This window comes from Homo sapiens, chromosome Y (assembly GCF_000001405.40).
Source record: "Homo sapiens chromosome Y, GRCh38.p14 Primary Assembly".
Lineage (NCBI taxonomy): Eukaryota > Metazoa > Chordata > Mammalia > Primates > Hominidae > Homo > Homo sapiens.
In genome coordinates, this window is record NC_000024.10 from 796,130 (window position 1) to 822,588 (window position 26,459).

Below are 26,459 nucleotides of genomic sequence, written 5' to 3' on the forward strand. Positions count from 1 at the left end.
CCAGGCTGGAGTGCAGTGAGTGGTGCGATCTCAGCTCACTGCAAGCTCCACCTTCCGGGATCAAGTGATTCTCCTGCCTCAGCCTCCCGAGTAGCTGGCACTACAGGCACCTGCCACCATGCCCGGCTAATATTTGTAGTTTTAGTAGAGACTGGGTTTCGCCATGTTACCCAGGCTGATCTCAAAATCCTAGTCTCAAGTGATCCATTCACCCTGGCCGCCCAGAATGCTGGGATGACAGCTCCTTTTACCTATTTTTTTTTTTTTTTTGAGACAGAGTCTCGCTCTGTCACCCAGGCTGGAGTGCAGTGGTGCGATCTCGGCTCACTGCAAGCTCCACCTTCCGGGATCAAGGGATTCTCCTGCCTCAGCCTCCAAAATAGCTGGCAATACAGCCACCGGCCACCATGCCTGGCTAATTTTTTTTAATCTTTTTTTTATTATTATTATACTTTTAAGTTCCAGGGTACATGTGCACAACGTGCAGGTTTGTTACATATGTATTACTAGAGACGGGGTTTCTCCACGTTGTCCAGGCTGGTCTCAAACTCCTGACCTCGGGAGGTCCCCCTACCTCGGCCTCCCGAAGTGCTGGGATGACAAGAATGAGCCACCGCGCCCGGCCAGAATGCCCCAAATTTTAAACCAATAAACCATGATGGGAGTCCCTGGGAATCCAGAGTTCTGATCTAGAATAACTCAGGGACCCCACTCCCCAGTTTGTAAAGTAGGGAGTTACAGGGCAGTCTTGGGGTGAATGAGGTTCAAATGCCTTGTGTAAATTAAAAGGTTAGAGGCGGAGATAACGTTGGCCTCTGGAAACCCTAGCGGGGACAGAGGTGCACCTGGGCTGGACCAACAGACACAGAAATTGTTGCAAAGATGGAAACCATTGCCAATGCTGGTTTGATGGGATTAGGGAAAGCCTCATATATCTGACATCTTTCCTTCTTCAGTTTTCACACAGAAAATCAGAGAAAGGGAAATGCCTGCACACACAAAAAGGGAAATTACTGCACCAAAAAAAAAAATTCTGTACACACACACACACACACAAACACACACACACACACACACACACACACAATTCCCTGGAGAATTTCAGGAATAAAGCCAATCACCATTTATGGGGACAATGGAGAGACACCAGAAAGAAAACTATATACCTTTAAAAGTAATTTTTTTTCCAGGTACAACAGGACTTAAAACAAGTAATGACAATTTTTTTATTTTTATTTTTATTTTTTTGAGAGGGAGTTTCACTCTTGTCACCCAGGCTGGAGTACAGTGGCGCAATCTTGGCTCACGGCAACCTCTGCCTCCTGGGTTCAAGCGATTCTCCTGCCTCAGCCACCTGAGGAGCTGGGATTACAGGCATGCACCACCACGCCCGGCTAATTTTGTATTTTTAGTAGAGACGGGGTTTCACCACGTTGGTCAGGCTGGTCTCCAACTCTTGACCTCAGGTGATCCACCCATCTCGGTCTCCCAAAGTGCTGGGATTACAGGCATGGGCCACCATGCGTGGCCACAACTACCAACACTTTTAAGGTTAAACAGTAAAAGCTATTCTGTCTCTCTCTCCATATATATATATATATATATATATATACACACACACACACACACACACACACAGACACACACATACATACATATATATACATATATACAAATATACATATATACATATATACATATATACACATATACACATATATACACATATATACACATATATACATATATACACATATATACACATATATACGTATATACACATATATACGTATATACACGTATATACATATATACATATATACATATATACACGTATATACATATATACATATATACACGTATATACATATATACATATATACACGTATATACATATATACGTATATACTCATATATACATATATACGTATATATACATATATACACATATATATACATATATACGTATACATACACATATACATACATATGTATACATATATACGTATACTGGGGGAAGGGGAGAATTGGGCATAGCCCCAGACCAGAGGGTTTTATTGAGTCTGAAAATCAATAAATACAGTGTATGGGCTGCAGACAGGATGAGTTATTAGAATATCATGGAGATCACCTGTAAAGATTCTCCGGCAAGCTGGAAATGAGATTACAGGAACTGGGACAGACCCTGGATGCAGAGGTCTCATTAGCAATCCATGCGTACATTAATTAAGGTAAGCAGTGCCTTTGCTTCCTGAAAACCTGCCTTCCTTGATATTTTCCTCGAAGACGCTACAAGTTTTGGAGGGCACTAACCTCTCCTCTTATATGTCGATTGCTTTTTTTTTTCTTTTTTTTTTTTTTGAGACCACGTCCTTCTCTGTCACCCAGGCTGGAATGCACTGGCGCAAGCTCAGGTCACGACAACATCCTCCTCCAGGGTTCAAGTGATTCTCCTGCTTCAGCCTCCCAAGTAGCTGGGATTATAGGCACCTGCCAACACGCTTGGCTGACTTTTGTACTTTTAGTAGAGACGGGGTTTCACCATGTTGGTCAGGCTGGTCTTGAACTCCTGACTTGAAGTGATCTACCTGCCCTCCATCTTTCAAAGTGTTGGGATTACAGACATGAGCCACCGCACCCAGTCCCAACTGCTTTTTAAAAATTGAAAAAATTGAATGTTTATTGACATGCCAATTTTTTTCAATCTGTTTTAAAAATAATATATCCTAAATGGACAGGTGCAGCGGCTCACGCCTGTAATCCCAACACTTTGGGAGGCTGAGGCGGGTGGATCACTTGAGGTCAGGAGTTCGAGACCATCTGGCCAACATGGTGAAAACCCGTCTCTACTAAAAATACAAAATTAGCCAGGCGTGGTGGCGGGCGCCTGCAATCCCAGCTACTCGGGAGGCTGAGGCAGGAGAATAGCTCAAACCCGGGAGGCGGAGGTTGCAGTGAGCCGAGATCACACCACTGCATTCTAGTCAGAACGTTCTCATCACCCCAAATGGAGACCCTGTACCCGCAAAGCAGTGACTCCCCGTGCCCCATCCCCCAGCCCCTGTGGCAACCACGAATCCACTTTCTGTCTTTGTCGGTTTACCTTTTGTACACATTTCATGTAAATGGACTCATATAATGGGTGAGGTAAATATTTGTTGTTGTTTTTGTTGTTTTTGAGACAGAATCTCGCTCTGTTTCCCAGGCTGGAGTGCAGTGGCGCAATCTCGGCTCACTGCAAGCTCCACCTCCTGGGTTCAAGCGATTCTCCTGCCTCAGCCTCCCGAGTAGCTGGGACTACAGGCACCCGCCACCACGCCTGCCTAAGTTTTTGTATTTTTAGTAGAGACGGGGGTTTCACCATGTTGGCCAGGCTGGTCTTGAACTCTTGACCTCAGGTGATCCACCCGCCTCGGCCTCCCAAAGTGCTGGGATGGGATTATAGGCGTGAGCCACCATGCCAGGCCAGTAAAATATTTTTTGTTGTTGTTTGTTTCTGTTTTTGTTTGAGACAGAGTCTTGCTCTGTCTCTCAGGCTGGAGTGCAGTGGTGCGATCTCGGCTCACTGTAACCTCCACCCACCAGGTTCAAGCCATTCTCCTGCCTCAGCCTCCTGAGTAGCTGGGATCACAGGTGCACACCACCACGCCTGGCTAATTTTTGTAGTTTTAGTAGAGACGGGGTTTCACCATGTTGGTCAGGCTGGTCTCGAACTCCTGACCTCAGGTGATCCATCCACCCTGACCTCCCAAAGTGCTAGGATTACAGGCATGAACCACTGCACCCGGTGAGATAAAATATTTTGTATCTGGCTTTTTTTCACTGACCATGATCTCTTCAAGGTTCATCCATGCTGTAGCCTGTGTCAGAGCCTCATTCCTTTTCATGGCTGTATAATATTCCACAGTGTGGTTGGAGCACATTCTGTTTCTCTGTTTGTCAGCTGAGGACCATGGCTATTTCCACCTTTTGGCTATTGTGAGTAACACTGCTGTGAACATGTATGTACATGTTTTGGTTAAATATCTCTGTTTTCATTCCTTTTGGGTAGCTGTTGAGAAGTAGAATGGCTGGGCTGTATGGGAATTTGACGTTTGACTTTTTTCATTCTTTGATGAACCAATAGCTAGAGTTTTGCTTGCTGCACTGACAAGACAAGCAAGATATACAACTCATATTGGTCTATACTTCATCCACGCATTCCCAGGCCATTTCCCTGAAAGTGGTGTCCAGAACTGGGGGCAGGAAGAGCTGACCAAGTGAGCAAATGACCAGAAAGGGCTGGAGGGCAAGGATGGTGACCAGGGCCGCTGTCGCAGCAGGTGCAGTGAGTTTACCAAGCATCTAGTCCAGCTTCTCATTTCATAGACGGGGAAGCCGAGGGACTCTGAAAAAGGATAGAGCCTCACTAGGAATGGCTGGCCGAGGACTTCCCTGGATATAGACTTCAGAATGGCTGGCCTGGGAAGTCCTGGGATATGCACCTTTGTCATGCAGCTGGAAAAGATGTGCGGGGATGGAATGTTAGTGTAAACACTGAGGGATGATGGGAGTATGGGCATGAAGGTCGAAGCTCAGATACATTGATAATATATAGGTCAATGATAGTTACATGATAGATGAAAGATATATAGATGATGGATATATAATCAATAGATAAGTCAGGTGCGGTGGCTCACGCCTGTAATCCCAGCACTTTGGGAGGCCAAGGCGGGCGGATCGCCTGGGGTCAGGTGTTTGAGACCAGCCTGGCCAATATGGTGAAACCTCGTCTCTACCAAAAATACAAAAATTAGCCAGGCGGGGTGGTGGGCGCCTGTAATCCCAGCTACTCAGGGAGCTGAGGCAGGAGAATTGCTTGAACCTGGGTGGTAGAGGTTGCAGTGAACTGAGATCACGCCACTGCACTCCAGCTTGGGTGACAGAGTAAGACTCTGTCTCAAAAAAAAAAAAAAAATCAGGCCGGGTGCAGTGGCTCATGCCTGTCATCCCACCACTTTGGGAGGTGAAGTGGGTGGATCACATGAGGTCAGGAGTTCGAGACCAGCGTGGCCAACATGGTGAAACTCTGTCTCTACTAAAAATACAAAAATTAGCCAGGTGCCGTGGTGTGCACTTGTAATCCCAGCTACTGAGGAAGCTGAGGCAGGAGAATTGCTTGAACCTGGGTGGCGGACGTTGCAGTGAGCCGAGATCACACCACTGTACTCCAGCCTTGGTGACAGAGTAAGACTCCGTCTCAAAAAAAAAAAAAAAAAAAAATTCAATAGATAGATAACAGATAACATTAATAGCTAGGTAAATAATACATGATTGAGAGATGATAGATAATTGATAAGTAAATAGACGATAGATGAAAGATATTATGTAGGTGATAGCTAGCTAGATGATTGATGAATTTGTACATAGATAGATGATTGACTGATACGGTTTGACTCTGTGTCCCCACTCATCTCTCACATTGAATCATAATGATCCCCATGGGTCAAGGGGGGGACCAGGTGGAGGTAATTGAATTACGGGTGCAGTTTCCCCACACTGGCCTCGTGATAATGAGTGAGTCTCATGAGATCTGAAGGTTTTATAAGCATCTGCCATTTCCCCAGCTGGCACTCCTTCTCTCTCCTGCCGCCCTGTGAAGAGGTGCCTTCCGCCACGATTGTGAGTTTCCTGAGGTCTCCCCAGCCATGTGGAACTGTGAATCCATTGAATCTCTTTGCTTTATAAATTAGGCAGTCTTGGATATGTCTTTATTAGCAGCATGGGAAGAGTCTAATGCTAGAAAATTAGCCAGGTGTGGTGGCTTGAGCCTGTAATCCCAGCTACTTGGGAGGCTGAAGTCGGAGAATCACTTGAACCTGGAAGTTGGAGGTTGCAGTGAGCTGAGATTGAGCCACTGCACCCAGACCTGGGTGAAAGAGCAAGACTTTGTCTTAAAAGGAAAAGAAAAAAACCTCAAAAACAAACAAACAAAACGAACAAAATATTCCATCCCATACCAAGGTTATCCAAACTTGACTTCTGGCAAATTGAGTGTTTTCTGTTACTTACCTAGTATCAACATTTCTTTCTTTCCTCCTTTCTTTCTTTCTTTCCTCTCTTTCTTTCTTCATTTCTCTCTCTTCTTTCTCTTTCTTCATTTCTCTCTCTTCTTTCTCTCTCTCTTTCTTTCTTTCTTTCTTTCCCTTTCTTTCTTTCTTTTTTCTTTTTTTTTGAGATGGAGTTTTGCTCTTGTTGCCCAGGCTGGAGTGCAGTGGTGCCATCTTAGCTCACTGCAACCTCCACCTCCCAGGTCAAGCGATTCTCCTGCCTCCCAGGTAGCTGGGATTACAGGCGCCCACCACCATGCCCGGCTGTTTTTTTGTATTTTTAGTTGGGACTGGGTTTCACCAAGTTGGCCAGGCTGGTCTCAAACTCCTGACCTCAGGTGATCCACCCACCTCGGCCTCCCAAAGTGCTGGGATGACAGGAGTGAGTCAAAATATTTTTTCGTGTTGTGTGTTTTTGTTTGTGTTTTTGAGACAGAGTCTCGTTCTGTCACCTAGGCTGGAGCGATCTCAGCTCAGGGCAACCTCCATCTCCTGGGTTCAAACCATTCTTCTGCCTCAGCCTCCAGAATAGCTGGGATTACAGGCGCCCACCATCACGCCTGGCTAATTTTTGTATTTTTAGTAGAGACAGGGTTTCACGATGTTGGCCAGGCTGGCCTCGAACTCCTGACCTCAGGTGATCCACCCACCTCAGCCTCCCAAAGTGCTGGGATTGTAGACATGAGCCACCACGGCCGGCCACACCATTACTTAAATGACATTGAAAAGCACTTCCCTGGAAGCCAGATCCAGGCTGTTTCACAGTTATGGCAGTGGAGGACTTCCCAGAGCTGCTGGGCAGTTGTCCAAAAACCAATCTCTAAGTGGTGCTTTTTGGCAGCTCTAAAGGTGCAAACTTCATGGGCCTACACAAAATTGCACACGGGCTTAGCGTGCGTGGGGTCCCTTGGAACGTAGGCATCTTTGCACTTCTAGGTGGCCTTCCTTCTGAGCAGGGGGTATCTGGCTGCCTGTGGCTTTTCTCCAGCAGGAAGGGGGGTATGTGCATTGGCAGACATCAATGAGCATGAGAGATATGAATAGGGCTGAGAACGGCAGACTCTGCCCTGGATGGTGGGAGATACTCGCCAGAGGTGGCATTTCTTCTTCTGAGTTGGTCAGCACGACATGCACCCGTGGCAGCCTCTGGGACAGTTTTCTGATCCATAACAAACTTAATGGACTTGGGTGGTCTCTAGGTTCTCTGGCTTCTGACGCTACATGAACTGATGTATTAGTCAGTTCTTCCATTGCTACAGACAAATACCTGAGACTGAGTAATTTATAAAGAAGAGAGGTTGGCCAGGCACGGTAGCTCAAGCCTGTAATCCCAGCACTTTGGGAGGCTGAGGTGGGTGGATCACCTGAGGTCAAGGGTTCAAGACCAGCCTGGCCAACATGGTGAAACCCCATCTCTAGTAAACATACAAATAATTAGTTGGGCGTGATGGTGTGGGCCTGAAATCCCAGCTACTCAGGAGGGTGAGGCAGGAGAGTCACTTGAACCCAGGAGGTGGAAGTTACAGTCAGCTGACATAGCACCACTGCACTCCAGCATGGACAACAGAGTGAGACTCCATCTAGGAAGAAAGCAAGAAGGCAAGAAAGCAAGAAAGCAAGCAAGCAAGCAGGAAAGAAAGAAAGGAAGAAAAAAAGAAAGAAAGGAAGAAAGCAAGCAAATAAGAAAGCAAGAAAGCAAGCAAGCAAGAAAGAAAGAAAAAGAAATTAAGAAAGCAAGCAAGTAAGAAAGAAAGCAAGCAAGAAAGAAAGAAAGTAAGAAAGCAAGCAAGTAATAAAGCAAGAAAGAAAGAAGGAAAAGAAAGAAAGTAAGAAAGCAAGCAAGCAAGCAAGACAGAAAGTTAGAAATTAAGAAAGCAAACAAGTAAGAAAGAAAGAAGGAAAGAAAGAAGAAAAGAAAGAAAACAAGTAAGAAAGCAAGCAAGTGAGAAAGAAAGAAAGAAAGAAAGAAAGAAAGAAAGAAAGAAAGAAAGAAAGAAAGAAAAGAAAAGAAAAGAAAGACAGACTTTCCATCTGATGCTACGCTCACTATTTAAGGGATGTGTTCCATGGAAGCTCAAGCCTCCGCTTCAGACAATATATCCATATAACAATCCTGCACACGTGCCCCCGAATCTAAAATAAAAATGAAAAAAGAAACCACTTTCCACGAGCTATTTCTTTTTTTTTTTTTTTTTTTTTTTGGATTTTTTAGTAGAGACGGGGTTTGGCCCTGTTGGCCAGGCTGGTCTCGAACTCCTGACTTCCGATGATCCACCCACCTCAGCCTCCCAAAGTGCTGGGATTACAGGTGTGAGCCACCGGGCCTGGCCTTTTGTTTGTTTTGTGTTTTTTGAGATGGAGTCTCTTCTCTCACCCAGGCTGGAGGGCAGTGGCATGATCTTGGCTCACAGCAACCTCTGTCTCCTGGGTTCACGCGATTCTCCTGCCTCAGCCTCCCGAGTAGCTGTAAACTTTCACAACTGCGAATTTTTTCTCCTTCTCACTGTCCCCAGGGACAGTGTCCCAGGGAAGGGACAGCCCTTCCCAATTCGATCTCCCTTGTCAAGCCTGTTAGTGCCTCAACTTCCACTTTGAAAAGTCACGTCAACGCTGCCTGAATGTGCGGTTGTCCTTAAAAGACCGTTTGAATGAATTGTATTGTGTTTAGTGCAAGGACAAGGAGGATTGGGGTGGAAATGTGGAAGGGAAACCTCATCCCTGTGTGTGTGTGTGTGTGTGTGTGTGTGTGTGTGTGTGTGTGTGTGTGTGACATTAACGTGCTGCCACTCAAATGCACCTGTTTCCTCTCAAGGAAAGTCACTTTCAAGAAAGATGCGGTGGAAAGTCGTTTGTTTGTGATCACCGGCGTGTTGGAACACCGGGCTGGTGAAAGCAAATAATGCTGTTACCTCGTCGTCATACTGTCACTGGATACGTTTTCCTGGGGTGCAGGGAAGCTCCTTCTGATATAATACAGGGTGAAGAGATTCCCCCAAGAAGCCGTTGTTTCGGAGTCGAAACAAAGAAAAGCTTTTGCAAAACCCCCTGTCTCTAATTTCGTTTTAGAAAATTAGATACTCAGAATTTTGCCTAAGATAACTGTATTACCGGGATGCAATTTGCTGTAGGTTGCTAGCTTTCCTGCGCGGGATCCCTTAATAAAAAGTGTCAGTTAAAATGAAAATACAGCTTGGGTAATTAAATTTAATTGGATCTTGTCACTTTACATCCGCTTCGTTTTGGAGGGTTTCTACGGAATTGCAGCTACCCGGTTTGCTAATTTCTTGACGGCAAGCTGCTGAGGAGAAGCTGACCCTCCTCTAATCAACTGACACCCTGTTTTTGCCAGGACTCTGAACCCTGCTAGTGACGATAAACAAAGAAAAGGGAAGGAAGGGCTTAGGGTAGGAAAAGAGGGGGATGGAGTTATCTGTGGGTGATTAACTTGTTCTCCCAGCGAGTGAGCTGCTATTGTTACCATTTGCAGGGGAGGAATCCCAGCTCTGAGAAAAGGCAGTGATTTTTCCTACCAGGACGGATTTCCATCCCTGCGATATAATATCCGCAGATGTTTCTTCTAAACACTGTGAGCACCTACAGGGCAGCCACCCTTTACTCAGAGAGAGCCAATGCTCTTAATGCATGATGGTTCTGGAGGCCACGTCTCCCAAATCAGCCTCTCTGCGCTACCGTGAACGGGTGTGCAGGACTGAGTTCCTTCTGCAGGTTCCAGGAGACAATCTGTACTTTGGTGTTTTCTGGGTCCTACAGGAAACCCACAACCCTTGGCTCCTGGCTACGCGTCTCCTCTCCTTCTTCCTCTTCTGTCTCCTAATCTCCGCCTGTCTTCATCACACAAGGACCCTTGGGATTCCATCGGCCCACGTGGATAATCCCAGGTCACCTGTCCATCTGCCCGTAACTGAATCACATCTGGAAGCACCTGTTGCTATGAGTGCTCACATGCTCGTAGCTTCTAAAGATTGGGACCTGGGTATCGTTGGAGGTCCTCATTGAGCTGATCATGGGGAATAGAGAGTGTCAGGCCTCTGAGCCCGAGCTAAGCCATCATATCCCCTGTGACCTGCACGCATACATCCGGATGGCCTGAAGCAACTGAACATCCACAAAAGAAGTGAAAATGGCCAGTTCCTGCCTTCACTGTTGACATTCCACCATTGTGATTTGTTTCTGCCCAACCGTAACTGACCAATGTTGTTTATAATCTCCCCTACCCTCAAGAGGGTTCTTTGTAATCTCCCTAACCCTTAAGAAGGTTCTTTGCGATTCTCCCCACCTTTCAGAATGTACTTTCTGAGATCCATCCCCTGTCCCCAAAGCATTGCTCCTATAACTCCACCGCCTGTCCCCAAACCTATAAGAACTAATGATAATCCCACCACCCTTTGCTGACTCTCTTTTTGGAAACAGCCCGCCTGCACCCAGGTGATTAAAAAGCTGTATTGCTCACACAAAGCCTGTTTGGTGGTCTCTTCACACGGACGCGTGAGACAGAGATATTCCAGCAAATATCGGTCAGTGAGGGCTTGAGAAAGGGGGGAGGCCAAAGACTGGTCTACACCGGCTGACCCCGCCTGCCGGCTCACAGGGCATTTTCTCCTGGGGCCAGAGTTCCATCTCCCACCACAGCTCTGCAGACACAGCATCCAAAAATCAAGAATGCTGGATGCATGGAGAGAGTGGGCTTATCCTGAAGTCTGAGGAAAGAAGGAAGGAAGGAAATAAGGAAGGAAAGAAAGTAGGGAGGAAAGAAAGAAGGAGGGAAGGAATGGAGGAAGGAAGATTGGCTCAAGTTATCCTCCCACCTCATCCTCCCGGTAGCTGCACTGTAAGTCTGGATTGTAAAAGTTAAAGGAAACGGGGCCGAGCGCAGTGCCTCACGCCTGTCATCCCAGCACTTTGGGAGGCCAAGGTGGGTGGATCACTTGAAGTCAGGAGTTCGAGACCAGCCTGGCCAACATGCTGAAGCCCCGTCTCTACTAAAAATACAAACATTAGCCACGCCTGGTGGCGGGTGCCTGTAATCCCAGATACTCGGGAGGCTGAGGCAGGAGAATTGCTTGAACCTGGGAGGTGGACGTTGCAGTGAGCCGAGATCATACTCCTGCACGCCAGCCTGGGCAACAGAGCGAAACTCCATCTGAAACGAAACAAAGCATTTAAGGAAAGGATTGCCGATGCCCTCGGATAATTCTCCTTAGAGACAGTTGCCCAGATTTCAAGTTTTTTTCTATTTGAACAAATAGGTGGATATACATGGTGGGTGTAGACTGTCAAATACATAAACCTCAAAATCTACAAAGTCTTCACAGAGGTGTGGGCTGCACTCTGAAAAAAAAAAAAAAAAAAACTTTGGGAGGTGGAGGCAGGAGGATCACTTGAGCCCAGGAGTTCAATACCAGCCGGGACAACACAGTGAGACCCTGTCTCTACCAAAAACAATAAACAAATATTAACCAGAATAGTGGCACACACCTGTAGTCCAGCTACCTGGGAGGATGAGGTGGGAGGATAACTTGAGCCAATCTTCCTTCCTTCCTTGCTTCCTTCCTTCCCCTCTTTCTCTTTCCTTCCATACTTCCCTCTTTCCTTTCTTCTCTTCCCTTTTCCTTTCCTTCTTCCTTTCTTACAAATAAATAATGAGTATAATAAAAAATAAATAAATAATAAATAAATAATGAAATTAAAAATAAAATAAATCAATTAGTAAAATAAAAACAGAAAAGGTTTTTACTTTATAATAATACTATTAATATTAATAGTATTATTATTATTTGAGATGGAGTCTCTCTCTGTCGCCCAGGCTGGAGTGCAGTGGTGTGATCTCGGCTCCCTGCAACCTCCACCTCCCGGGTTCAAGTGATTCTCCTGCCTCAGTCTCCCAAGTAGCTGGGATTACAGGCATGTGCCACCATGCCTGGCTAATTTTTGTATTTTTAGTAGACATGGGGTTTCACCACTTTGGCCCCTTGCTGGGTGAGAGGGTCTCCTGCCACACATCCCAGCCTCTCTGGGAGCCTCCATCTGCAGAAGGATGCACTGACTGTCTGTCTCTAGTTGTGCTGACCCACCCTCCCTGCACCTCTTTGTCTGTAGATTCAAAGCTGTGTAGGAAGTAGCTTTTGACAGCCTGGCATATCATGTCTTATGTAAAACCTTCTAATTTATAGAGGGCCTCAGGTTTAATCTTACACATTCTCCCGCCGTATCCTAAATTATCAATCATTTTAATGACATGTAAAAAAAAATAACAAGCAAATCTTAGAGGACATCCTTATCGCCTATTTTAATACAATTTCCTAAATCAAACATCATAGGGAAGCTCATATAAAAAACTTACGCCTAGCAAGAAATTAAAGAAATATGTACTTAGGGCAATCAACGTTACACGGATAGACTTACCAGATCTTTAATTTTATACAAACGAGCTTCTCTTCGTATTAAAAGACGCATCTGGCTTTTTGAATGACAGACTCACCGGGTCCACATATGCAGAGACGTCTTTGGAATCATAAATACTAGCTAGCAACAGTCCTACATTAAACTTCAGGTCTTAATCAGGTCTTACACCACGTGCATTCTTTGTTGTTGTTGTTTTGTTTTTTTGAGATGGAGTCTCGCTTCTGTCACCCAGGCTGGAGTGCAGTGGCGTGATCTCTGCTCACTGCAACCTCTGCCTCCCAGGCTCAAGCGATTCTCCTGCCTCAGCCTCCTGAGTATGTGGGATTAATAGGTGCCTGCCACCACGCCTGGCTAATTTTTTGTGTTTTTAGTAGAGATGGGTTTTCACCATGTTGGCCAGGCTGGTCTCGAACTCCTGACCTCCTGATCCGCCCGCCTCGGCCTCCCAAAGTGCTGGGATAACAGGGGTAAGCCACCACGCCCGGCCATATTCCTGCTGTTTTAAACCCATCTGTGCATTGGACTTTGCTACCGCAGCCCTACGATGCTGATGAGGATGGTGATTTTTGTTTGCTAAATCATAGGTTTCTGCCTGTTTAGAAGGCAATTTAAGCGCGAATGAAATGAATCTGCTATCTGTGCAGGGCCCTCGCCAGCCATCTAACCAGCCATCTTCGACGTGGCCACTACCCCTTATTAGCAGCAGTTCCTGGCACCCACAGCCTCCCACACCCAGAAAGCAAACTTACAGTTTGACCACCAAAATTTAAAAGTATGTGGCTGTACGGATGACCCCGCTTGTTTGAACTCCCAAGGAACAGAGGAGCTCTTGTTTTACAAGTTTATTGCACGATGATATACTTTAATTTTATACAAACGAGCTTCTCTTCGTATTAAAAGATGGTATACAGTGGAGAGAGTATGTTTGGATGTTGGAAAAAAATCTCGGAAAGAGAGAGTCTTTTGTAACTGGGTATACACAGGTGCCAGCCTCTTGCTGTCCATTTGGGAGAGTGCTTTTTTAGAAATTTTTGAAACAGGGTCTGGCTAGGCTGCCCAGGCAACAGTGCAATGGTGCAATTATAACTCACTGCAGCCTCAATCTCCTGGGCTCAAGCAGTCCTCCTGCCTCAGCCTCCTGGGTAGCTGGGACTACAGGAGTGTGCCACCAAAGTCAGCTAATTTTTTATTTTTTACTTTTTGTAGAGGTGGGGTCTTGCTACATTGCCCAGTCTGGTCTCAAACTCACAGGCTCAAGCAGTCCTCCTGCCTCAGCCTCCTGGGTAGCTGGGACTACAGGCTTGTGCCACCACAGTCAGCTAATTTTTTATTTTTTACTTTTTGTAGAGGTGGGGTCTTGCTACATTGCCCAGTCTGGTCTCACACTCAGAGGATCTCCTGCTTCAGCCTCCCAAAGTGCTGGGATGACAGGCATGCACCACCACATCCTGCCAGTTTGAGCCAGTTCTATTCCCATGTCCCAGAGCTTCATTGGACCAATGACCGGGCATTTCATTCCCTCTTCCCCAAGAACTGAAGCGGATGAGCTTTCTCTTGGATGTTGTATGTTAGTGCTGGGATCTGTCAGTAGAGAAGGGTGCATGCCTGCCTTTTTGGAGCACACACATATAGACACACAGACACTCTCTCAGTGGCTCTTGACCTCTAACCATCAAGGCTGGGTGCGTGCATGGCCCCAGGATCCCAAGCATCCCTCAGGGGCTGACACTGATTGTTCGGTCTTCTGGTCAACCACTCAGTAAGTTCTTCCTCAGGCTCCTTGCTCACCTTGGCCACCATCCCCACTCTAAACGTTCCGGGGGCTCTCCTGTCCTGGCTGCAATGATGCCCCAGGATTCTTGGGGACAGGGGATTCTATGGGGACTCACCGAAGAATGAGAAGGGTAGCAAGATAGTTAGATCATAGCTAAATAGATAATAGGTAGATGATAAATAGATAGATGAAAGAGAGTAGATAGATGGTAGCTATAGGTGATAGATAGACAGATAATAGGTAGATGATAGGAAGGTAGTAGATAGATGTAGATTAGATAGACAGATAGGCAGATGATGGAATGTGAGTAGATGAATAGATAGATGATAGATAGATACATACATACGTACATATATACATACATAAATACATGATAGGATGTAATGGATAAAAGATAGAGGCACAGATGATAGAATGTGCGTGGATGAATAGATAAAAGATAGATAAAAGGATGTGAATGTATGAATAGACAGATAACAGATGGATGGATGGATAGATAATAGGATATGAGTGGATGAATAGATAGATAAACAGATGATAGGATGTTAGTGGATGAATAGATAGATGGATAGATAGATGTGATGGTGGGTGGATAGGTGGATGAACAGATAGATAGATATATGGATAGGTGAATAGATAGATACTAGACAGATGTGATGGGTGGATGGATAGATGGATGGATGAATAGATTGATAGATTGATCAATAGATAGAGAGATGATATATGGATTTCTTTTAATAGATATGACAGATAGTAGACAGATGATAGATGAATAGATGGATAGTTATTAATAGATAGATAGACAGAAAGATGATAGAATGTGAGTGGATGAATTGATAGATGATAGATAGATAGATAATATATAGATAAGATAGATACATAAATAGATACATAGATAATAGGATGTAATGGATAAAAGATAGATATACAGATGATAGAATGTGAGTGGATGAATAGATAAATGATAGATGATAGAATGTTAGTGAATGAATAGACAAATGATAGATAATAGGATGTGAATGTATGAATACGTAGATAATAGATGGGTGGATGGCTACATAGGTAGATAGATAGACACATAGATTGATAGATAGGTAGATAGATAGATAGATGATAGATAATAGGATATGAGTGGATGAATAGACAGATAGATGATAGATAGATAATAGGATATGAGTGGATGAATAGATAGATACATAGATGTGATGGTGGATGAACAGATAGATACATGGATAGATGAACAGATAGATACTAGATAGACATGATGGATGGATGGATGGATGGATGGATGGATGGATGGATGGATAGATCGATCAATAGATAGATGATAGATAGATAGATAGATAGATAGATAGATAGATAGATAGATAGACAGATAGATAGACCTTCATGAAAAAATTCCCTACATTTAGTAGAATGCACTAGGACCTTACCCCTGGGGATGCTGAAACTTAAGTTGAGATTTGGGTCAACAACACAATGATTGTTTTCCAGGACGTGGCATCTGCTGATTCTGGGGACCAGCCTGAGGGAAGGCACGAATTTTGTCCTCCTTCTTCCAGAAGGAGGCCTCTTTGCAAATGGTTCTTGGGGAGAAAGTTTGCCTCTGGCTCTTTGGTATATTTCTGCATCTCAAGGGACATTTCTATCTCAACCTAATACTGAATTCCTCTTGGATGAGTCTCAAAATCATGGTGTTTCTCTTCAGTTTCATGACTGGAGGGGGTGAGAGTCGGTGGGGTGGACACACCCATCCTCAGGACAGAGTCAGCAAGGAAATAAATATACTCCTGGTTCTCTAGTGGAGAGTTTAGCAATTTAACCTGAGAGGTTGGAGACTACCTACTCTATTTTCACGAGCAGTCTTGGATTTGGGGCCTCACTAAAGAAACTCATAAAATGCAAAGCACAGATGTAGAAAATGACCAAGAAAGAAAACAACTCGAAAATCAGTTTTAGGATGAGCCCAGGTTAAAAACGCAGCATACAAGCTGGGTGACGTGGCTCATGCCTGTCATCCCAGCACTTTGGAGGCTGAGGTGGGAGGATCACCTGAGGTCAGGAGTTTGAGACCAGCCTCACCAACATGGTGAAACCCCGTCTCTACTAAAAGTACAAAAATTAGCTGAGTGTGCTGGTGCGCACCTGTAATCTCAGGTACCCGGGAGGCTGAGGCAGGAGAATCGCTTGAACCTGGGAGGCGGAGGTTGCAGTGAGCTGAGATCATGCCACTGCACTCCAGCCTGGGGGACAGTGTGAGAGTTTGTCTCAACAAGCAAAACAAACAAACAAACAAACAAAAACCCCACAACATAATTCATTCGAACCCATTCTTAGTCATCTTTGTGAGATTAAAAAACCACAAATTCTGATTCACTGGGATAGGGTTGAGACAGAAATCCATGCGAGTTTGAAAAGCATGTAAATTAGCTCAGACATTTTCAAGCACACACGGGGATTAAAACTCAGCCAACAGCTCTTCACTGTTGGGCCGCTCTATTACCAGGACTTTGATAAAAAGATGAAAGTGCACTGAAATGGTGGTCTTCAGTAGGTGAACTCTTCTGCTCAGAGGTTTTCCTATAGCTGAGATATTCTCCTGTGTCTTGTCCCTGCCTTTACTTTCACATATTAGTAGAGAATGAAAAGTTGAAGAATTTGACTTCACTTTGGGTGTTCGTTGGTGCAATGGATATGGTTGTCTGTTGAAGGGAGTGAACCTCTGAAAACGAAGCCATGGGCTGGCTCTCAGAGCTAAGATAAAATATAAGATGTCATGAAGACCAAAGAGAGGAGAACCAGTGAAACTGGAATACAGAGTCCCAGACAATACCCTGGCTGGGTGGAGAAGATGCATGGATTTCATTGATAAGAGACTGCAGGATTGTAAGACAGATGTACAAAATGGCTCAGAGAGAAAACTTGGGGTCTTTCTCTAGCCTGCTCCCAACATCTGATTTCTTTTTTCTTTCTTTCTTTTTTTTTTTTTTTGAGATGGAGTCTTGCTCTTTCACCCAAGCTGGAGTGCAATGGTGTGATCTCAGCTCACTGCAACCTCTGCCTCCGGGTTCATGCAATTTTCCTGCTTCAGCTTCTTGAGTAGTGGGGATTACAGGCGCCTGCCACCATGCCTGGCTAATTTTTGTATTTTTATTAGAGATGGGGTTTTGCCATGTTGACCAGGCTGGTCTCGAACTCCTGACCTCAGGTGATTCACCTGCCTCGACCTCCCGAAGTGCTTTTTAAAAAATTTTCTTAGTATTTTTTTTTTCAAGGAGTCTTCAACAGCAGGAACCACATCTGAATTCTAAACCTCTCTTTTCCAGCTGATGACAACGTTGCCTTCTCTGAGTGTTTGACCCATCAAAGCCAAACTCTTTCTTCCACCATCTCCTGAAGGCACCATCTTGGTTGGCCACTGAAGTAGGCTGAATGTTGATGACCTGGAGAAATAGATCCTTGTCCTAATCCCTAAGAAGCAGAGAATGTTCACTTACGTGGTAAAAAGCGTCTTTGCAGACATGATGAATGAAGAATCTTGAGATGAAGAATTATCCTGGATTATCTGGGTGGACTCTACATCCAATGGCAGGTGTCCTTCTGGGAGACAGAAGAAGAGACACAGACACAGAGGAGAAGGCCACGTGGAGACGGAGGCAGAGACTGGAGTGATGCGGCCACAAGCCCAGGGACGCCTGGAGCCCCCAGGAGCTGGGAAAGGCAGAAAGGATCCTCCACTAGAGCCTCCAGAAGGAACTAGACAGAGTTGTAATGGATTGAACAGTGGCCATGAGATAGACACGTTCATGTCCTAACCCCCAGAACCTGGAATGAGATCGCATTTGGAAATAGGGTCTTTGCACATATAATTAGTTAAGGATCTTGAGAGGAAATCGTCTTGGATTAGGGTGGGCTCTAATTCCAATAACAAGCATCCCTGTAGGAGACAGAGGAGGAGACACAGACACAGAGGAGAAGGCCACAAGGAGACGGAGGCAGAGACTGGAGTGATGCGTCCACAAGCCGAGGGATGCCTGGAGCCCCCAGGAGCTGGGAGAGGCAGGAAGGACCCTCCCCTGGGGCCTCCAGAAGGAACTGGATACAATTGTAATGGATTGAACAGTGGCTGTCGGAAAGACGTATTCATGTCCTAACTCCCAGGACCTGGAATGAGATCGCATTTGGAAATAGGGTCTTTGCACATATAATTAGTTAAGGATCTTGAGAGGAAATCGTCTTGGATTAGGGTGGGCTCTAATTCCAATAACAAGCATCCCTGTAGGAGACAGAGGAGGAGACACAGACACAGAGGAGAAGGCCACAAGGAGACGGAGGCAGAGACTGGAGTGATGCGGCCACAAGCCGAGGGATGCCTGGAGCCCCCAGGAGCTGGGAGAGGCAGGAAGGACCCTCCCCTGGGGCCTCCAGAAGGAACTGGATACAATTGTAATGGATTGAACAGTGGCTGTCGGAAAGACGTATTCATGTCCTAACTCCCAGGACCTGGAATGAGATCGCATTTGGAAATAGGGTCTTTGCACATATAATTAGTTAAGGATCTTGAGAGGAAATCGTCTTGGATTAGGGTGGGCTCTAATTCCAATAACAAGCATCCCTGTAGGAGACAGAGGAGGAGACACAGACACAGAGGAGGAGGCCACATAGAAATGACGGCAGAGTCCATCTAATTCAGGACACTCTCAACTTGAAATCCTGAATTTAACGTGTCTGTAAACACCTTATTTTTAATTAAGGTTACAAATAGTGTCCTGGCAACGGTGTGTTTTAGGGGACACTTTAAGCTAATACAGAGAGTGACAGCTGATTCTTGTAATTATCACAGAAAGGGAATTTTCATTTGCTGGAAGAGAGAAGAAAGCAGAAATTAAACAGGCAGTTTCTTCCACGTTGCTTTGGGCTCTGTTTGATTGCATTTACTCCAACCTCTGATGCCCTGAAGTGAAGGGTTTGGACTACAAACCTCAAATGGGCTTCCAGCTCCAGGAATTTATGAACTTGCATTTTTTTTTTTTTGTTTTTGGTCTTTTGACAGAGGCCCTGAAGCGGCTACAGTAGAAGAAAAACAAATCTTCTACGAACAGAGAATTACTCTGGAAGGTCAAAAGCTAAGCTTAAAAGGATCTATTAAAACTCAACAGCAAGGCTGGGCGCTGTGGCTCACTCCTATAATCCCAGCACTTTTGGAGGCTGAGGCGGGAGGATCACCTGAGGTCAGGAGTTCGAGACCAGCCTGGCCAGCATGGTGAAATCCCGACTCTACTAAAAATACAATAATTAGCCAGGCATGGTGGCGGGCGCCTGTAATCCGAGCTACTCGGGAGGCTGAGGCAGGAAAACCACTTGAACCTGGGAGGCGGAGGTTGCAGTGAGTGGAGATCGCACCACTGCACTCCAGCCTGGGCGATGGAGCGAGACTCCATCTCAAAGAAAACAAACAAAGAAACAAAAACAAACAAACAAAACCCCTCAACATCAAAAGGACAAACAACCCAATTAAAAAGTAGGCAAAGAACTAAAATAGACATTTCTCCAAAAGAAGATAAAGAAATGGCCAAGAAGGGCATGCAGAGATGCCCAGCATCACTTACCATTACTGACGTCAAAACCGCGTTGAGAGACGGCCTCACACCCACGAGGATGGCAAGAAGGATAGTTGAGGCAATATTAGCAAGCGTTGATGAGAATGTGGAGAAACTGGAAGTCCTGTCTACTGCTGGAGGGTAAAATGGCACAGCCGCTGTGGGAAATGGCATGCACCTCACCAAAAAATGAAACATAGACTTATCCTACGATCGCATGATCTCACTCCTGGCTGTGTGCACCCAAAATAACTAAAAACAGACTCAAAGAAATACCAGAGCACAAAGAGCGGTGGTGCATGTGCCTGTCATCCCAGCTACTCGGGAGGCTGAGGCAGGAGAATTGCTTGAACCCAGGAGGAGGAGGCTGTGGTGAGCCAAGGTTGCGCCACTGCACTCCAGCCTGGGCGACAGAGCGAGTCTCCATCTCAAATAAATAAATAAATAAACACCACACCTGTAATCCCAGCACTTTTGGGAGGCTGAGGCGGGCAGATCCCGAGGTCAGGAGTTCGAGACCAGTCTGGCCAACGTAGTGAAACCCCCGTCTCTACTAAAAAATACAAAACAATTAGCCGGGTGTGGCCGTGCACGCCTGTAATCCCAGCTGCTTGGGAGGCTGAGGCGGAAAAATGGCTTGAACCCGGGAGGCGGGGAGGTTGCAGTGAGCCGAGGTTGTGCCATTGCACTGCAGCCTGGGAGACAGTGAGAGACTCCATCTCAAAATAAAAAATAACATAAAATAAATAAATAATAAATAAATAGAATCTCCAGTCCTTGGGCTCAGGGCTATTTGTACACACAACTACAGGGAGACTTTGGGTTTCCCGGTTCGGTTTTCCTTTAATCCGAAAGCTCTTCTGGAAAGAAAGTGATATTTCACCTGTTAAAGCTGCTGAATTATTCTCAAGCGGGTTCCGCGTATCTTGCACCTGTATTGGCCGATGAGCGTGAGAGACGCTCCCATCTCGTTACTGGGAGAGGTGGGACTGGGGGGCTTCATCGCCAGAGGGATGAGGGGCTCGAGGTACTTACCTTTGTGGTGGGGACATTAACTACAGCATAGCCTGAATCTTGTGATGTTGAACCGTGCACGGCGGCACTGCCTCGGGGTCTCCCCAAGAGGCTGTTGATGTCTGTTTTACTTTTTTTATATTTATTTATTTATTTGAGATGGAGTCTCGTGCTGTCACCCAGGCTGGAGTGCAATGGCACGATCGTGACTCACTGCAATCTCTGTCTCCCGGGTTCAAACGATTCTCCTGCCTCAGCCTCCAGAGTAGCTGGGATGACAGGCACCCGGCACCACGCCCAGCTAATTTTTGTGTTTTTAGTAGAGACAGGGTTTCACCATGTAGGCCAGGCTGGTTTTGAACTCCCAACCTGCTGATCTGCCTGCCTTGGCCTCCCAAATTGCTGAGATTACAGGCATGAGCCACCACGTCCAGCCTTTATTTTTATTTTTGTTTATTTATTTGAGATGAGTCTCGCTCTGTCTCCCAGGCTGCAGTGTGATGGTGTGATCTTGGCTCACTGCAACCTCCGCCTCCCAGGTTCAAGTGATTCTCCTGCCTCAGCCTCCCGAGTAGCTGGAATTACAGGCACCCGCCACCACGCCCGGCTAATTTTTCTATTTTTAGTAGAGATGGGGTTTCACCATGTTGGCCAGGCTGGTCTCGAACTCCCGACCTCAAGTGATCCACCCGCCTCGGCCTCCCAAAGTGCTGGGATGACAGCCATGAGCCACCACGCCCGGTGGATGATGCCTATTTTATAAATCAACGCCTAGAAAGTTTAGCATGTCCAGAATCTTTCGGAACAGGTGCTACCAGCCACCCACCTGGGCTGGTTCTTTTATTTCATTTCATTTATTTATTTCATATTTTATTTTATTAACATTTTATTTAATGTATTATTTTATTTATTTATTTTATCTTTGATTGTATTAGTATTTTATTTCATTATTTAATTTTATTTTTATTTCATTCTATTTTGTTTGAGACAAGGTCTTACTCTGTCCCCCGGGCTGGAGTGCAGTGGCTCGATCACGGCTCATTGCAGCCTCAAATTCCTGGGGTGAAGCAATCCTCCCATCTCAGCCTCCTGAGTAGCTGGGATTACAGGCACGCACCACTCCTGGCTAATTGAAACTGGGAGACACAGGTTGCAGTGACCCGAGATTTTATAATAATTTTATAATTATTATAATTATAATTTAGCATAATGTTATAATCATAATTATTATTATTATAATTATAATAATGTTATAATTATAATTATAATTATAATAATGTTATAATTATAATTATAATTATAATTATAATAATGTTATAATTATAATTATAATTATAATTATAATAATGTTATAATTATAATTATAATTATAATTATAATAATGTTATAATTATAATTATAATTATAATAATGTTATAATTATAATAATGTTATAATTATAATTATAATTATAATAATGTTATAATTATAATAATGTTATAATTATAATTATAATAATGTTATAATTATAATTATAATAATGTTATAATTATAATTATAATAATGTTATAATTATAATCATAATGTTATAATTATAGTTATAATAATGTTATAATTATAGTTATAATAATGTTATAATTATAATTCTAATTATAATAATGTTATAATTATAATTATATTTATAATTTTATTATAATTATAATTTATAATAATATTTATAATTTTATTATAATTATAATTATAATTTATAATAATATTTATAATTTTATTATAATTATAATTATAATTTATAATAATTTTATAATTATATTTATAAATTATATATTTTATATAATAAAATTATATTATAATTATAATTATAAATTATAATTTATACCACTCCTGGCTAATTTTATAATAATTTTAACATTGAGGTTTCAGTATGGTACCCAGGCTGGTCTCGAACTCCCTGGCTCAAGCAATCCTCCTGCCTCAGGCCTCCCAAAGTGCTGGGATTACAGGTGTGATGTTTATTTATTTATTTATTTGAGACGGAGTCTTGCTCTGTCGCCCAGGCTGGAGTGCAGTGGCACAACCTTGACTCACTGCAGCCTCCACCTCCTGGGTTCAAGCAATTCTCCTGCCTCAGCCTCCTGAGTAGCTGGGATTACAGGCATGCACCACTCCTGGCTAATTGAAACAGGGAGACAGAGGTTGCATTGAGCCGAGATTTTATAATAATTTTATAATCATTATAATTATAATTAATAATAATGTTATAATTATAATTATTATTGTTATAATTATAATAATGTTATAATTATAATTTATAATAATTTTACAATTATAATCATTATAATAATTTGATAATAATTATAATTATAATTATAATAATTTTATAATTATATTTATAAATTATATTATATATTTTATATAATAAAATTATATTATAATTATAATAATAAATTATAATTATAATTTATACCACTCCTGGCTAATTTTATGATAATTTTAACATTGAGGTTTCACTATGGTACCCAGGTTGGTCTCGAACTCCCGGGCTCAAGCAATCCTCCTGCCTCAGGCCTCCCAAAGTGCTGGGATTACAGGTGTCAGCCACTGTGCCTGGCTAATTTTTTTTTTCTTTCAGGTAGAGACGGGGTCTCACTGTGTTGCCCAGGCTTCGGTTTGTCCTTTTAAATAGCCGATCGGGATATTTAGCGTTACGGTTATGCCTGGTTCCATAGCAGGGGTATTGAATGGTATGGAATCAAAATCGGGATATGACATTGTTACTGTAAGATGCTGTGAAACCTGCTCTCCACACTCCCTTGTAAACGGAGACAGGGGGGTTTGCCCCTTGTCCATCTGCGTCTACACATCATCCTGGTAGGGACTGTACCTTTTGCCCGTCTTTCAAGGCAAAAGAATCCTCCTGGTCCCCGGGTGGATATATAGGCTCCTGTTTCCAACGCTGGAGGCTGCAGCTCACCCCGCTGCACCCCACTTACCCACCGCTTCTGATCTGAACTCCGGGCTGATGTGGATTCAGCCAAACTGCCTGCTGTACCCCATTCCCATTCAATCCATTACGCGGCTCCCTCCACCGACTCCTCATCTCCCTGACTTCTAATTTGACAATGACAAAGAGCTCCGCGGTGATTTTAAATTTCATAATTTTAATCTGTCAAGCCTGACATTTAATTACTGCCCTCCTCACCTTGCAGCCACGTACGAGGGGGCTGCTGTGCGTCTTCCTTTAGAATGTATTTTTTCCCCCTTCCGTGGAGGAGTAGACTAATAAATAAGTATATGCATAACTGCCAGGTACAAGACAATGTGCCAGGGATGGTCTATTAGCCCCAAATCTAGACAGATGAGGTTAATCATATTTCCAAGTGCCACTTTATCGTATTAGGAGTGATTAAAGCACAGCCTCGGCCCCCGGATGAGACGTCCGTTGGAAACATGAAACAGGAGACCTGGTCTGTGCAGTTTCATGTGAGCCGTTAGAGAGGCACACAGGGAGGTTGTGGGAGCCTTATGGGAACCCCGATTTGCTGCGCTGCTGGTTGTGGGGTTTGCAAACAAAGCAAGGCAAGCAGGGATTGCTAAGAGATGGCTCTGGGCAGCTGGGGTACGAAGGTTGTTTGGGACACCTGGGGCCGTTCCTTGGGTGTCTGTGGGAGGAAAAGTCTCTCTCCACACGCTGCTGTAATAGCAGGTGTAACAGACTCATCATAACTGGGTTACCTGTGTTGAGACCGTCCACCTTGACTTAGGTCCAAGCTGACTTCTTTTGCTTTTGAGACGGACTCTCATTCTGTCGCCCAGGCTGGAGTGCAGTGGCACGATCTTGGCTCCCTGCAACCTCCACCTCCCTGGTTCAAGCGATTCTCCTGCCTCAGCCTCCCGAGTAGCTGGGATTACAGGCGCCCGCCACCACACCCGGCCAATTTTTGTGTTTTTAGTAGGGACGGGGTTTCACCATGTTGGCCAGGCTGGTCTCGAACTCCTGACCTCAGGTGATCCGCCCGCCTCGGCCTCCCAAAGTGCTGGGATGACAGGCATAAGCCACTGCGCCCAGCCCTTATCCCATAATCTTTCAATTTTTTAAAAATATTTGAAGGCATGCATCATCACATTCTGAGATCTCATGGATGAAGCTGGAAACCATCATTCTCAGCAAACCATCGCAAGGACAGAAAATCAAGTCTACCATGAGAAAGACCCATTCTAATATGCCAAAGCAAAGCATGATGCACCTGGGGAGCCCAATTTCAGGTCAATATGGAAGAAGAGATGTCTCAATGCCAGAGTTGTGTGAGGGTGAAATGGCTTTTAATGACCAGGGTGAAATGTATTTTAGTAGAGACAGGGTTTAATGAGAAGGCGAGTTTCCTTCCGTTGGACATACCCCAGAGACCCCTGTGTCCCACCCAGAGAAAACCAAAGGCAGGTTCCAAGCAAGGGTCAGACGTTGGACTTCACAGCCCTGCACGTCCCTGCTAAGTCTTGGAGTCCATAAGACGTCAGGGGGCTGCCGCCTGTGTCAGCTTCCTCTCTGCAAGTCCAGGGATGGCAAATGGATCACTTCAACATTGAAAATGCATTTTTGTATCAGTGTGGGCTGCAGAATGTCTCCAATGCAAAGAAAAACCTCATCATCCCAGGCAGAGACTTGGCAAATACCTCCTATCTGGAATGTTTGTACAACATGGTCTTAGCCTCCATTCCCATGTTATACATAATTCGTCCCCAGTGGACATAAAACAGTTCGTAACAATGCAAAAAATGCTTATCCTCGTAGTCCAATTGCAGTAAAAACAAAAAACAAAAAAGATCCTGAAAGATTGAATTTTCTTTTCTTATGATACATTCAGAATTGCGGTCCAGAATAATCAAGCCATATTATTTTCCATAAATGTCTGCATTTTTTTCTGGGAAACCCCAAGGGCCCTCTATGCAGAATGAAAAGCTTGGTCTAGCTTGAGATTTGGCAAGAAGCTGTTTAACACGGAGAAGGGCCAGGCAACAGCGGTTCCTCAGGTCATTTCCCACCATAAATAGCTCAGTGCAATTTAGAGAATGAGAGGGAAGTATTTTGTAATTTCACTAAAAGATTAAGAAAATATAATAGTAATTGCCAGGTGGGAAAAAAATCCTTTTTTTTCTGTTTCAAAAATCAGTCAAGAGGAGTTTAGAAAGGAGATCAGATTGGAAGGGGGAGGGTTATTTATTTAATTTTTGTTTTGTTTTATTTTTAAGAGAGAGTCTCGCTGTGTCACCCACGCTGGAGTGCAGTGGTGCAATCTTGGCTCACTGCAACCTCTGCCTCCCAGGCTCAGGTGATTCTCCCGCCTCAGCCTCCCAAGGAGCTGGGATTACAGGCACCCGCCACCACGCCCAGCTAATTTTTGTATTTTTAGTAGAGACGGGGTTTCACCATGTTGGCCAGGCTGGTCTCAAACTCCTGACCTCAAGTGATCCATGTGCCTTGACCTCCCAAAGTGCTGGGATTATCGGCCTGAGCCACCATGCCTGGCCTTACTTAATTTTTTAAATCATTTTATCCTGAGCTTCTAACACACTGGTCATTGG

The 26,459-nt window shown here is 44.4% G+C and overlaps 10 annotated features.

Moving 5' to 3' along the window:
- Positions 9,000-9,496: an enhancer, noted in NCBI's record as "CNE6 PCR-amplified transgene fragment". NCBI's record gives its function as "enhancer in diverse tissues in zebrafish embryos, especially heart and ear at day 2, and muscle, ear, eye and heart at day 3" and the evidence as "EXISTENCE:transgenic organism evidence [ECO:0001131][PMID:21731768]".
- Positions 9,245-9,333: a conserved region, noted in NCBI's record as "conserved region; CRCNE00011100 more deeply conserved sub-region". NCBI's record gives the evidence for it as "EXISTENCE:sequence alignment evidence [ECO:0000200][PMID:21731768]".
- Positions 23,224-24,130: a meiotic recombination region, noted in NCBI's record as "meiotic double-strand break mapped by DNA meiotic recombinase 1 chromatin immunoprecipitation followed by single-stranded DNA enrichment and sequencing on the X chromosome in the germ cells of some male individuals with the PRDM9 A/A genotype". NCBI's record gives the evidence for it as "EXISTENCE:chromatin immunoprecipitation-seq evidence [ECO:0000229][PMID:25395542]".
- Positions 23,224-24,315: a biological region, named in NCBI's record as "SHOX downstream enhancer, distal recombination region". NCBI's record gives its function as "recombination_partner: LOC108251803".
- Positions 23,325-24,315: a meiotic recombination region, noted in NCBI's record as "meiotic double-strand break mapped by DNA meiotic recombinase 1 chromatin immunoprecipitation followed by single-stranded DNA enrichment and sequencing on the Y chromosome in the germ cells of some male individuals with the PRDM9 A/A and PRDM9 A/B genotypes". NCBI's record gives the evidence for it as "EXISTENCE:chromatin immunoprecipitation-seq evidence [ECO:0000229][PMID:25395542]".
- Positions 23,685-23,686: a chromosome breakpoint, noted in NCBI's record as "distal breakpoint sub-region, recombines with the proximal breakpoint sub-region within the SHOX downstream enhancer, proximal recombination region, resulting in a recurrent 47.5 kb deletion". NCBI's record gives the evidence for it as "EXISTENCE:nucleotide sequencing assay evidence [ECO:0000219][PMID:22791839]".
- Positions 23,717-24,371: an enhancer, noted in NCBI's record as "ECR1 PCR-amplified reporter construct fragment". NCBI's record gives its function as "enhancer in human U2OS osteosarcoma cells" and the evidence as "EXISTENCE:reporter gene assay evidence [ECO:0000049][PMID:22791839]".
- Positions 23,836-24,356: an enhancer, noted in NCBI's record as "CNE7 PCR-amplified transgene fragment". NCBI's record gives its function as "enhancer in zebrafish embryos in day 2 skin, and in day 2 and day 3 brain, fin and cardiovascular system" and the evidence as "EXISTENCE:transgenic organism evidence [ECO:0001131][PMID:21731768]".
- Positions 23,920-24,091: a conserved region, noted in NCBI's record as "conserved region; CRCNE00011101 more deeply conserved sub-region". NCBI's record gives the evidence for it as "EXISTENCE:sequence alignment evidence [ECO:0000200][PMID:21731768]".
- Positions 24,159-24,268: a conserved region, noted in NCBI's record as "conserved region; CRCNE00011102 more deeply conserved sub-region". NCBI's record gives the evidence for it as "EXISTENCE:sequence alignment evidence [ECO:0000200][PMID:21731768]".